Consider the following 14600-nt stretch of genomic DNA (forward strand, 5'->3'; position numbering starts at 1 on the left):
GGGCGGCCACGGGCCAGCTGCGGCTCCCACCCTGGCGACCCTGGATTGCTCTCCCCATTCTCAGCCTCACCCCCCACTCCTTCCACCCCATATTTTGCCGCCTCGAAGGACATGAACCATCTGCTGGCTGAAGGCGCTTGGACCTGAAACCAGCGACAGGTTTTGGCAGCTGCACGCTCACTCCCAGGGAGGCGAGGGCGCCCGGCGAAGTGTGGGGTCTGCCGCCCCCTGCCGGCTTGGCTGACGTTCGCTTCTGTTTCCACGCTGCCCAGCAGTGTTCCAGGTGGAACATTTCAAAGGCAAGGCTGAGAATAAATGCTGTTTACAAATTCCAGAAAAGAAAAAAAAATGTTGCTCTTCTCTTTAGTAAAAGGTTTTCCCAGACAAGCCAGCACTTCTGTGGGTTGTATTTAAATCTTAAGTACATGAGAGCTGTTGCCTGCAGGCGCTGGTATTGCCCAAGGAGGGTAGTTTCAGGACAAAGTCTCTGAAAACTCCAGGCTCTTGGACGAAGCAACCTTTCCACATTATGTAGCATAATCTACCAGGTCCTGCGATTTACCCATCGTGCAAAAGGAGCAAGTCTCTTTAAAACAGGGCTTTCAGAGAGTCTTTTCAGGAGAAAAAAAATGTTGGAAGAACAGATTCGTTGCCTATTTGTTGTTGACTTTGCATCTAAACTGATCCCCTTAAAAGTATTTATGGGTATGAACGATAAATAATGAAAGGGATCAAAATAGGAATGTTTCATTTACTTTAACCTGGCCCATGCAGTGCACTTCAGGCCCTAGACTCTGGTTTGGACTCTGCGATTTCTACCTTCCTTGGCTTTGTTTGCTTCACTGATCAGAGTTCTGTGAATACAGTAGGTGCTCGATAAATGCTTATTCTGGTTATTGCCATTGATGCCTGTGGCAGTAACTGCAGACCGGCAGGCTCCGGCAGCAACGAGGCGTGGGGCTGGAGGGCCTGGCTCTGGCATCCAACCCTGCTCCATCTGACACACAAGCGGTGTGACTCTGGGGAAGCTATGAACCTCTGCGGAACTCTCTATTAGTAAGATGAGAGTGGTAGTAATAGCACCTCCCTCATAGGGTCAGAGTGAGGAATAAATGAAATAACCTGTGTAAAGAACCTAGTGTGGTGCCTAGTATTGTGTAAACTACTCAGGGGACAGGGGACTAGTATCCAGAATATACAAGGAACTCAAACATCTCCAGAGCAAAAAACCAACCCAATTAAAATATGGGCAAATGATCTGAATTATTAAAAGAAGACATTACAAATCTGCAACAAGTGTATGAAAATGTGCTCAACACCACTAATCCTCAGGGAAATGCAAATCTAAACCACAATGAGCCATTGTCTCACCCCAGTAGGATGACTATTGTCAAAAAGACAAAAAATAACACATGCTGGTGAGGACGCAGAAAAAAAGGGAATTTTTCTACACAGTTGGTGGGAATTTAAACTACTACAGTAATTCTGGAGAACACTATGGAGGTTCCTCAAAAAACTACAAATAGAAGTACCTTATGATCCAGCAATCTCACTACTGGGCATTTATCCAACAGAATGGAAATCATTGTATCAAAGAGTCTGCAGCCCCAGGTTTATTGCAGCTCTGTTCACAATAGCCAAGATAAAGAATCAACCTAGTTGTGTGACTACACATGAATGGATAAAGAAAATAAGGTATATACATACCATGGAATACTATTCAGCCATAAAAAATAATGGAATCCTATCGTTTGCAGCAACATGGATGAAACTAGAGGACAGTATGTTAAGTAAGCCAAGAACAGAAAGGTAAACACTGCGTGATTCTCACTCATAATGTTGCCATAGGTGGCTATTAAGGTATTAGCAGGGCAGAAGAGGGCTTCCCCCTACCACTGCCCCAAACACACACCAGGAGTGTTGCCAACCATTAGGTGATGGTCAGGGTGGTTATTAACTGTCTGTCTAAAGTAATAATTGGTCACAGCTGGCACCAGAGAAAAGCAGTTTCCCAAGAGATAGAAAACACCTATCATCAGCAGCTTCCCGATAAGATCTCAGGAATTGGGCGAGTGGGGAGAAGGGACCCAAGACCTCGGAAGCATACCAATGTATAAAACCCCCAAGTCCAAAGGTCAAGGCGCACACTTGCTTTTCAAGTCACCCGCTTGGCCCTATTCCAAGTGTGCTTTCCTTCCTTTCATTCCTGCTCTAAAGCTTTTTAATAAACTTTCACTCCTGCTCTAAAAACTTGCCTCAATCTTTCCTTCTGCCTCATGCCCCTCAGTCAAATTCATTCTTCTGAGGAAGTAAGAATTGAGGTTGCTGCAGACCCATACGGATTTGCCGCCGGTAACAATATGTGGCAGCTAAAAAAGTTTATCTCAAAGAAGTAAAAAGTAGAACGGAGGACAGTAGAGGCCTGGAAGGGTGGGAAAAGGGGAAATAGGGAGAGCTTGGTTAAAGTCTACAAAATTACAGCTAGATAGCAGTAATATGTTCTAGTGTTCTATACCACTGTAGGATGAATATGGCTAACAATAATATATTGTAAAGTTTCAAGCAACTAGAAAGAGCATATTGAATGTTTCCAACACAAATGAGTGATAAACTTTGAGATGATTGATGGATATGCTAACTACCCCTCTTTGATCTCTATACATTATATATATTGAAATATCTCTATGTACTCTGTGAACATGTGCAATTATTATTTGTCAATAAATTTTTTTTATCTTGATCTCATAGAATTAGAGAGTAGAATGGTGGTTACTGGAGGGTGAGGAGGGTAGTCGGGAAGAGGAGAATGGAGAGAGGTTCGTCAGTGGGTACAAAGATCCAATTAGATTGAAAGAATAAGTTCTGGTGTTCTATTACACACTAGGGTGACTATAGCTAATAATTCTGTGTTGTACATTTCAAGATAACTAGAAGAGAGGATTTGGAATCTTCTAACTAAGAAGAAAGGATAAATGTTTAAAGTGAGGGGTATGCTAATCACCCTGATTTGATCCTTACACAACGTATCCATGCATTGAAACATCACACTGTACCCCATAAATATGTACAATTATTATGTGACAATTATAAATAAAACTTCTAAAAGGAGCTTAGTACAGTGCCTAGTATATAGTGATTAACCAATCAAGTATAGCCATTATTATTTATTATTCCTTCCTCCCAGTAGTAAATTACAGTGCAATGGTTAAAAGTAATCACTTGAGGCCCAGATATTTGCATTGGAACCTGGCTCTCCCAATTTCCACTGATGTAACTATGGGCAAGCAAGTTTCAATGCTCTGATCTATAAAATGGTAATGATAATAACAGAGAAAAATCTGGTGATTGTATCATGGTATGGATAATTCATAGTGCTGTTTGTGCCTGGCACAGATCCACAAACCTACAATAAATAATAGTAGTAAAATAAAAATTCTAAGCAAGTGTATTTAGATTAACCACCAATGCTTAATTGTCCCCTGAGGTACTAATGTCTTTATCTAATTTCACCTTTCCATTTATTTGCTTATCGGAAGATTGATTCCTAGAGGAAGGCTGAATCCAGAGTGTCTGAACTCAGTGACAGCTTCCCACATGAAGGTCAAGGGCTGTCTGCAGCCCCTGGTGGAATCCAGGCTGCCAACATCAGTCCTTCCACTTAGAGCAGTTCTTGTGCAGTCTTTGATGCAAGGTAATTTTGGAAGAATTGCCTCAAGGGTGTGCAATGGTGATTACTGATTGTGGCCTGGGTAGGTGGAAAGGCTACTCACAGGGACCAAATGCAATGACCTTAGCTCCCGTAGTTGTTCATTACTGGAACTTGGTTTTCAAAGTAAGTCAAATGAAACTGAACAACGTTGGCAATAATCCATCACTGCTCGTGGGACAGGGAAGGGTTCTGGAAGGGACTGGACTGGAGAACCCCGCAGGCTTGAGGTAAGTTATGGGTTGGTGCTCCCTTGCCGATGGGATCATTCAAAACAATGTCCCTACAACTTACTGAATTAGAATGTCAGCTGGGTGGATTCTTTCTTCTCTGGCCACTCTTAAGGGACTCACGTACTGTTGGATTCAGAAAAGCGCTTTTACAAATTCAGGGAATCACCTTCCCTTACTGAGCTCCAACACTAAGAACCAGAGGACCAACGCTTTTGTGAAGGTCAAATGACCTTTGAAAAGTGGGGGCCTCTTTTTCTCCACAAATGACATTCTTTTCTTTTCCCAGGGGCCTGGGGCTCCCCAAGTTTGTGGCACACCCTGCCTTCAGTGGCTCCTCAAGGCCTTTGCGGTAAAATCCACAGTATTTAGCAAGACAGTCTCCCCTCCCCAGGCATCTAGCCCAGTCTAGTTTCCTCTCTCGCCCCTCCCACAGTGCTCCTCACCTGCTTATTCGGGTCTAACCAGGTGTCTTAATCAGCTTGGGCTGCCATCACAAAATACCATACTGGGGGGTTTAGACACAGACATTTATTTCTCACAGGTCTGGAGGCTGGAAGTCCAAGATCAAGGTGTCAGCAGATGCAGTGTATGGTGAAATCTCTCCTCTTGGCTTTTAGATGGCCTGACTCTCACTGCACCCTCACATGGCATCTCCTTTGCTTCTGTGAGGAGGGAAAGGGATGGGGTGTGTGTGTGTGTGTGTGTAGAGATGGCTCTCCTCTTCTTACTGAGGCATGAATCCCGTCATGGGAATTTCATCATGGCCTTCTGCCACATGAGGACTTAGTAATAAGGAGCCACCAGATGCTAGCATCTTGATTGAGGACCTCACAGCTGCCAGAACTGTGACACAATCCATTTTTGTCCTTTATAAATTATCCAACCTGTGACATTTTGTTACAGCAACACAAACAGACTGAGACATATGGTGTGGCTTCTCTTCCCACCCCTGTAGTGACTCCTTCTTTGCTAAATTCAGTGAGCATTTTTCAGTCCTCATCTTTGTGAAAGGATATTTTGCTAGAGTGGAGACTGGAGCTCAGATATTGCTGATGATCAGAGTTGGCGTGTCTCCCCAATTGATTTACAACTGGAGCTTGGATACTGTTTTAAACCTGGGAGGAGCCTCCTAACCATCTCGATACAACCACTGATGTGACTACACTACAGATAGACTCTTTCCACTTAATTCTACCACTCTTGCTTTACTTCATGAGAATGAAAATATAATAATGCACCATGAATTCATTTGGGGAAATATTGATATTTTATTTTTTAAAATATGTATTTATTTAAGCTACACCTACTGGAATGGGAAGGATTGATATTGTATTTTACTTTATTTTGTATTTATTTATTTTTTTTCTTTTTTGAGACAGAGTCTTGCTCTGTTGCCCAGGCTGGAGTGCAGTGGCACAATCTCAGCTCACTGCAACCTCCATCTCCTGGGTTCAAGCAATTCTCGTGCCTCAGCCTCCTGAGTAGCTGGGATGACAGGCATACATGCCACCATGCTGGGCTACTTTTTGTGCTTTTAGTAGAGATGGGGTTTTGACATGTCGGGCAGCCTGGTCTCGAACTCCTGGACTCAAGTGAATCATCCGCCTCATCCTCCCAAATTGTTGGGATTACAGATGTGAGCCACTGCACCCAGCTGGAAGGATTGATATTTTATAACATAATTTATAATTACAGAAAACATGTGAGTCCACTAGAAATTAATAGATTTTGAAGATAATAAAATAGTTTCACTTATGGGGCGGGGCGCGGTGGCTCACGCCTGTAAGCCCAGCACTTTGGGAGGCTGAGGCAGGCGGATCACAAAGTCAGGAGATCGAGACCATCCTGGCTAACATGGTGAAACCCCGTTTCTACTAAAAATACAAAAAAAAAAAAATTAGCCGGGTGCAGTGGCGGGCACCTGTAGTCCCAGCTACTCGGGAGGCTGAGGCAGGAGAATGGCCTGAACCCGGGAGGTGGAGCATGCAGTGAGCCGAGATCACACCACTGCACTCCAGCCTGGGGGACAGAGCAAGGCTCCGTCTCAAAAAAAAAAAAAAAGTTTCACTTATGTTGTAGTTTTGACATGGTTCATTATAGGATGTGGAGATGTTAACACTACCACCTAGCTTAATTTTGTCATCTAAGACCTGAAAGGGTTGTGTCTATTAGCTGCACCCCCGGTCAGCCACGTAACCTCGGGAAGGCCTCAGCCCCACTCCTCGTACGGCAGGAATGATAACAGCAATGCCTGTTGGGAAGCTTGAGGGAGGCTATGGATGTGCAGCGCTTGGCAGAAAGTCTCGTCATGGAAGGTACCAGCAAATGTGAGATACTTTTATGATTTTATTTTGTCCAAAAGAAAGGGAATGAAAGGAGAGAGGAGGAAACAAGACTAATCAGGAGATGTGAAGGTGTAGTGGTGAGGGGAGGAGTCAGCAGGAATAAAGTCAGCGTGGAGCAGCCGAGGTGGGAGATTGCTTTCACCACTTCCCAGCATCTATTGCAGATTCCACCCTCAAACATTTTGTAAGGACCCTTTATTCAAGGTAATGTTTGAACCCTGCTGAGCCAGTGGCATGGGTCTCTGAGAGAATCATTAACTTAATTTGACTATCTGGTTTGTGGGTGCGTTTACTCTCATGTAAGTCAACAACGTCCTGGGATTGGGACCCACTTTCTGGGCACTGCTGGCCAGTCCCAAAATGGAACATAAGGAAGTGGTTCTTCTACTTCTTTTATTTTTGAAATCAGGTAGAGCAAAGATTTTTTGTATAATAATTATTTTTTCTCCCACAATGTAGTAAAAATACATATGCCATGGCTTTATGTGCAATTCATTTAATTTTTGATTCATGAAATTCCCAGTTCAAAATCTTGTATCAGATTGACGATTTCTTCCAAAAATATGTTTAATTTCCTTGTGAAGACTATCAGTGTGCTGGAATGAATGGGCAGAGAAAATAATGGGTGATTTTTCAAATCTAAATGAGTGGGCCCACATGATAGCTAGTCTAGTTGAAAAAAAAATAGCCATCGTAGCTAACTATGCACAGGATAGCTACGGTCTTCGCCAGGTTCTCAGTTTGAATAATTTATATCAGTTCTGTTCAGGTGCCATGCTCCCCTCCCTTGCAAGTTGAAACAATGAAATATCTCTTTGAATGTATTCTGTTCCTTGACCAGTTCATGGAGTGGGACTCAGCATTTCTCTCTTTGTTATGGCCTGAGTAAGGCTTTCCATCAGTATACATTTGCTTCTTATCCCTGGAGAAATCACACACATCCATTTGCCAGATGACGTTGCAGATACTGACTCAGCAAATACTCAGTGCTTGGGTTAGGCCCCCACATTGTTATACATACATATATGCGTGCGTACATACATACACACCTGTGAGTGTGTGTCCCGTACAAATACTAGCTTATTTATCTTGTGGTATAGGTAGGGTAGTATATTCATCCCCATTTTATACACAAGGAAATCTGGACATAGAAAATCATGTTATTTGCCCAGTGACCAAACTCCCAAATCAAGGAAATAAAGGAACCTGGATTGAAGCCAGATTTCCAAGAAAAAATTTAGGACTCTTCTCACTTTTTCAACTATGTTCCAACCTTTGAAAAATAATCTAAACACATCCCAGTGTAACTGAAGAGCAGGTTAGTTGTTTGCCACTTGCAGAATCCAATTAAGAAGAGAGAAGTCGGCTGGGCGCTGTGGCTCACGCCTGTAATCCCAGTACTTTGGGAGGCCGAGGCGGGCAGATCACGAGGTCAGGAGATCGAGACCATCCTGGCTAACACGGTGAAACCCCATCTCTACTAAAAATACAAAAAATTAGCCAGGCGTGTTGGTGGGCGCCTGTAGTCCCAGCTACTCGGGAGGCTGAGGCAGGAGAATGGCGTGAACCCCGGGGGGACGAAGCCTGCAGTGAGCCAAGATCACGCCACTGCACTCCAGCCTGGGCGACAGCAAGACTCCGTCTCAAAAAAAAAAAAAAAAAAGAAGAGAGAAGTCTGGTATAAAGAAAGTGATTTACTTCCAACGCTAGCTTAGGGGAAGAAATTCAGGAGTCCTCTTGCACCACTTCACTTCTGGAGCAGAAAGTGGCACTTTTAAAAGGCAGGGGATGAAGTGAACAAGGGTGCAGGGGTCCAGGCTTCAGAGTCTTATCTGTCAGCTGGTCGAGCTGGTGACTGCTGGTGCCTTTGTGAGCAGGCTGTTGTCTCTTGAGGCAACTCCCTGGAGGGTGAGAGTTCTGTAGTGGGTATGCTTTGGTTTATAGATGGAATGTGAACTCAGGAGTTCCATCTTAAAGCACATGGTTAGATGAACTTGCCCTGAAGGCAGACTCTGATGAAGGGGAAGTAAAAGGCCATATTTGTATTTCTAAAGGGCTAAGTAGGAAATGGGGAACTAGGAGAATGAGGAAAAAAGAGAAAAAAAATAATGAAGCTATCTTAGAAAAATGGAGGTCCCCGATCATACTAGTAGGTTCTCTTAAACAGCTTTATTGAGATGTCATTCACCCATTTAAGGCATGCAATCCAATGGATGCAAATATATTGAGAGTTGTACAGCCATCCTCACAATACATTTTAAAATGTTTTCATACCCCAAAAGGCACTCCACTCTCACTGGCTGTTGACTCTCCTCTGCAGCTTCTGGCAACCACAAATCTACTTTCTGTTTTTATAGACTTGCCTATTTTGGACACTTCATATAAATGAAGTGTCCAAACAGTTCTTCATATAAACAATGTCCAGATACTTGCAATTTAATCTAATTACCAGATACAATTTTACAAGTTGACTTTAGAGTCAAATACATTTGAATTCTGTGGAAGCCATTCAAGAAAATATCAAAGAAAACACAGAGCAGGAGAAGATTCAGCGAAGAGATTTTTGGGGGAAATTGGTGTCCGTGTGTGTGTGGATGTGGGCAGGGGGTATGAATATTCTATTTCAGCCCATGGAAACTAGCACGTGGATCACTGTGAACTTATTCAGCGGGCTACACCCAAAGGCTAGATCAAACTTCTCTGCCACAGGATTAACATATGTTTTAACCAACCTGGGGGGCACATTCTCTCATAAGCTCTTTTGGAAAGTCAGGCTTTCTGTGGACGTGTTATCTTTCCAGTGTGCTGCAATGCCTGGGGAGAGGAAAATGTTTCTTTTACAGCCATGCTCAGTGAGAAGCGGAGAAACATCTTCCATTTCACAAATTACTAAGCTTTTACACATGCAAATATGCATACATATTCACACACCACAGTGAGGAAGAAATTCTCACACCATTAATAAAATACAGTTACTTCTGTAGCAATATACATCTACATTTGCCTATAATATAAAAATGTTTTTTCTACTGAAAGATTTGTTTAATGTTTCTTCACCAGCAAATAAACCCTAATACATCTCATTGCCATATGAGCCCTGGAGGTGAATAAGAGAAAATAATCCTTGGGGGAAAATTATCAAATTAAAAAGAGGAAAATTTGATTCTGTTTTGGGATATTTCCTAAGGATGTGAGCTGGGGAGGCGATCTCAGCAGTGATGCGCTGTGAAGCATAGTAACATGACACAGTTACAGGTAACTTAAAGGTGGAAACAAATGGAAGTTTCTCTTTTGGAATATCAATTGTAGCCTGCTCTGCTACATTTCAAAAAAACATCTTCAGAAAGTTTAACTTAACTCACCGTAAGACAAACTTTATGGATTTATTGCGTGTTTTGAAGTTATACTCTGAGCTATAGAATTGAACAAAGCACAACTCTTCTTGGAAATGAAAATTCAAATGGGAAGAAAATGCAGGTTGAAGACATGGATATGGGCCTAAAATATCGATTTCTCTATGATCTTTTGATACATCTCTCAAGTGCTTTTTAGTGGATTAGGTTTAGAATGCATCAGCCAACTCCTGCTCAATAATCCATTTTTGCTCGCAGCCGAGGATTCCTCCTAAGCTGTGTCCCATCTGTGCGGGACCCCACTGGAAGTTGGACTGTCCAACTGGCCCAAGGCTCTGATTGACTCCTTCCCAGATCTCGGCTTAGCGGCTGAAGACCGACACTGCCTGATTGCCTCGGAAGCCTCCTGGACCATCACAGATGCTTTGGGTAACTCTTACAATGGAGGGTAAGTCCGTCCCCTTCTTAATCAATACGGAGGCTACCCACTCCACATTACCTTCTTTTCAAGGGCCTGTTTCCCTTGCCTCCATAACTGTTATGGGTATTGATGGCCAGGTTTCTAAACCTCTTAAAACTCCCCAACTCTGGTGCCAACTTGGACAACATTCTTTTATGCACTCCTTTTTAGTTATCCCCACCTACCTAACTCCCTTATTAGGTCGAGACATTTTAACTAAATTATCTGCTTCCCTGACTATTCCTGGGCTATAGCCATGCCTCATTGCCACCTTTTCCCCCAGTTCAAAGCCTCCTTCACATCGTCTCCTTGTATCTCCCCACCTTAATCCACAAGTATAGGACACCTCTACTCCCTCCTTGGTGACAGATGATGCACCCCTTACCAGCCCATTAAAACCTAATCACCCTTAACCCGCTCAATGCCAACATCCCATCCCACAGCGCGCTTTAAAAGGATTAAAGCCTGTTATCACTTGCCTGTTACAGCATGGGCTTTTAAAGCCTATAAACTCTGCTTACAATTCCCCCATTTTACGTGTTCTAAAACCAGACAAGGCTTACAGGTTAGTTCAGAATCTGCCCTTTATCAACCAAATTGTCTTGCCTATCCACCCCGTGGTGCCAAACCCATGTACTCTCCTGTCCTCAATACCTTCCTCCACAACTCACTATTCTGTTCTTGATCTTAAAAATGCTTTTTTCACTATTCCCCTGCACCCCTCATCCCAGCCTCCCTTTGCTTTCACTTGGACTGACCCTGACACCCATCAGGCTCAGCAAATTACCTGGGCTGTACTGCCACAAGGCTTCACAGACAGCCCCCATTACTTCAGTCAAGCCCAAATTTCTTCTCCATCCGTTACCTACCTCAGCATAATTCTTCACAAAAACACACGTGCTCTCCCTGCCGATCATGTCCGACTGATCTCTCACCCCAACACCTTCTACAAAACAACAACTCCTTTCCTTCCTAGGCATGGTTGGATACTATCACCTTTGGATACCTGGTTTTGCCATCCTAACAAAACCATTATATAAACTCACAAAAGGAAACCTAGCTGACCCCATAGATCCTAAATCCTTTCCCCACTCCTCTTTCCATTCCTTGAAGACAGCTTTAGAGACTGCTCCCACACTAGCTCTCCCTGACTCATCCCAACCCTTTTCATTACACACAGCCAAAGTGCAGGGCTGTGCAATCGGAATTCTTACACAAGGACCGGGACCGTGCCCTGTAGCCTTTTTATCCAAACAATTTGACCTTACCATTTTAGCCTAGCGCTCATGTCTGCATGTGGGGACTGCCACTGCCTTAATACTTTTAGAGGCCCTCAAAATCACAAACTGTGCTCAACCCACTCTCTACAGTTCTCATAACTTCCAAAATCTATTTTCTTCCTCACACCTGACACGTATACTTTCTGCTCCCCGGCTCCTTCAGCTGTACTCACTCTTTGTCGAGTCTCCCACAGTTACCATTGTTCCTGGCCTGGACTTCAATCCGGCCTCCCACATTATTCCAGATACCACACCTGACCCCCATGACTGTATCTGATCCATGTGACATTCACCCCATTTCCCCATATTTCCTTCTTTCCTGTTCCTCACCCTGATCACACTTGGTTTATCAATGGCAGTTCCACCAGGCCTAATCGCCACTCACCAGCAAAGGCAGGCTATGCTATAGTATCTTCCACATCTATCACTAAGGCTACCGCTCTGCGCCCTCCACTACATCTATCATTGAGGCTACTGCTCTGCCCCTTCCACTACCTCTCAGCAAGCTGAACTCATTGCTTTAACTCAGGCCCTCGCTCTTGCAAAGGGACTACACGTCAATATTTATACCGACTCTAAATATGCCTTCCATATCCTGCACCATCATGCTGTTATATGGGCAGAAAGAAATTTCCTCACTATGGAAGGGTCCTCCATCATTAATGCCTCTTTAATAAAAACTCTTCTCAAAGAGCTTTACTTACAAAGGAAGCTGGAGTCATTCACTGCAAGGGCCATCAAAAGGCATCAAATTCCATCACTCAGGACAATGTTTATGCTGATAAGGTAACTAAAAAGGCAGCTAGCATTCCAACTTCTATCCCTCACGGCAGTTTTTCTCCTTCTCATCTGGCCACTCCCTCACTGACTCTTCCACCTGTCAATCCCTTCCCACACAAGGCAAATGGTTCTTGGACCAAGAAAAATATCTCCTTCCAGCCTCACAGGCCCATTCTATTCTGTCATTTCATAACCTCTTCCATGTAGGTTATAAGCTGCTAGCCCACCTCTTGGAACCTCTCATTTCCTTTCCATCCTGGAAATCTATCCTTAAGGAAATCACTTCTCAGTGCTCCATCTGCTACTCTACTACACCTCAGCCACCCCCGCCTCCCCCCCCCACCCCGCTTCCCTATACATCAAGCTTGGGGATTTGCCCCTGTCCAGGACTGGCAAATTGACTTTACTCACATGCCCCAAGTCAGGAAACTAAAATACCTCTTGGTCTGGGTAGACACTTTCACTGGATGGGTAGAGGCCTTTCCCACAGGGTCTGAGAAGGCCACCGTGGTCATTTCTTCCCTTTTGTCAGACATAATTCCTCAGTTTGGCCTTCCCATCTCTATACAGTCCGATAACGGACTGGCCTTTATTAGTCAAATCACCCAGTTTCTCAGGCTCTTTGTATTCAGTGAAATCTTCATACCCCTTATCGTCCTCAATCTTCAGGAAAAGTAAACGGACTAATGGTTTTTTAAAAACACCTCACCAAGCTCAGCCTCCAACTTAAAAAGGAGGACTCTGTCAAGGATAGAGCCCAAAAACTTGCCAACCAAGCAAGTAATTACGCTGTACGCCCTTGGGCACTCTCTAATTGGATGTCTTGGATCCTCCCAATTCTTAGTTCTTTAATACCTATTTTTCTCCTTCTTTTATTCAGACCTTGTATCATCCGTTTAGTTTCTCAATTCATCCAAAACCATATCCAGGCCATCACCAATCATTCTATATGACAAATGCTCCTTCTAACAAGCCCACAATATCACTGCTTACCATAAAATCTTCCTTCAACTTAATCTCTCCCACTCTAGGTTCCCACATCACTCCTAATCCCACTCAAAGCAGCCCTAAGAAACATTGCCCATTATCTCTCCATACCACCCCCAAAAATTTTCACCGCCCCAACACTTTACCACTATTTTGTTTTCTTTTTCTTATTGATATAAGAAGACAGGAATGTCAGGCCTCTGAGCCCAAGCTAAGCCATCATATCCCCTGTGACCTGCACGTATACATCCAGATGGCCTGAAATAACTGAAGAATCACAAAAGAAGTGAAAATGGCCTGTTCATGCCTTAACTGATGACACAACCTTGTGAAATTCCTTCTCCTGGCTCATCCTGGCTCAAAAGCTCCCAGCTGAGGCCCCCTTGGCCGCACGCTACCACAACCAGACAGAAAGCAGCTTTTGGACAGATTTGATTTCATAGAAAAATCAAGGCCAGTATTTAGCCCAGGCTGTTCTTTTTTACAATGTCCTCTGAAATTCAGATGCCTGTCAACATCATGGACAGACATATTTCTCCCCACTTAATAGTGGTGTGTCACTGTAGTAAACCCAATACAAAAATTGCCCTTTTTGTAGGGGAGCTTTTTACCCTCCAGTGTTTTGCTTAATTTTTGTGCAAGATGGCAACATACTTTAGTTCAGTTCTGATTTATTCCCAACATCATCAGTGCACCAAATTTTTTGTATCTCAAGGAGGGACCATTTAGAGGATGCTTATCACCAGTTAAAGTGACAGTGTCACAACCAAAGCGCATATTGTAAGAAATCAAATAATGGCCTCCAAGTTCCATTTCTACTCAGGGATGAACAAATCAACATCAATCTTTGGAACACAGTTGCCACTGATGGTGCCTTACTCTTCTATCATGACATGGCAATCAAGAGCAAACACAAAATTTATTCTTATTTTAGGTTTTATGGTTAGAATAGGAAGACAGCTAGACATGAGCAGGAGGGGGAAGCCCCTGAGAAAAGGGAAGTGTGGAAAATCTCACACCCCAGAAATTGCCTGAGTCCTGCATGCGAGATATGAGCAGAGGAGGGGGAATACTTAGGCAGAGAGGAATGCCCCTTAACACGCCCAGCAATCGCTCACTCAGTAGTTAACTTTTCCAAGTGTCACGAGGTACATGCTGATAGGGAGGGAAGAGGGCAAAGGAAGAATTCCTAAGAGATACACAAGTGCAGTTAGTACAGATCTGAGTGCTATGCAACCTTCCTGGGGTAGCAGCAATGAGCAATGCAGCCGGTAGGTAGAATTCATATCTGATATGGTTTAGCTGTGTCCCCACTCAAATCTCATCTTGAATTATAGCTCCCATAATTCCCAAGTGTTGTGGAAGGGACCCAGTGGGAGATAATTGAATCATGGGGGCAGTTTCCCCCATACTGTTCTCATGGTAGTAAATAATTCTCATGAGATCTGATGGTTTT

At 43.6% G+C, this 14600-nt stretch overlaps 1 pseudogene, besides 1 other annotated feature; it reads left to right on the top strand.

The window, feature by feature from the left end:
• The window catches only part of LOC107986665 (plasminogen-like protein B), a 124780-nt pseudogene continuing 116765 nt past the window's right edge, over positions 6586-14600 (top strand).
• Positions 11915-12416: an enhancer, noted in NCBI's record as "NANOG hESC enhancer chr6:161200290-161200791 (GRCh37/hg19 assembly coordinates)". NCBI's record gives its function as "activates a minimal SCP1, AML or CMV promoter by ChIP-STARR-seq in naive H9 embryonic stem cells {active_cell/tissue: H9 hESC(naive)}" and the evidence as "EXISTENCE:reporter gene assay evidence [ECO:0000049][PMID:30033119]".

The sequence above is a fragment of the Homo sapiens genome, chromosome 6 (assembly GCF_000001405.40).
Source record: "Homo sapiens chromosome 6, GRCh38.p14 Primary Assembly".
NCBI lineage: Eukaryota > Metazoa > Chordata > Mammalia > Primates > Hominidae > Homo > Homo sapiens.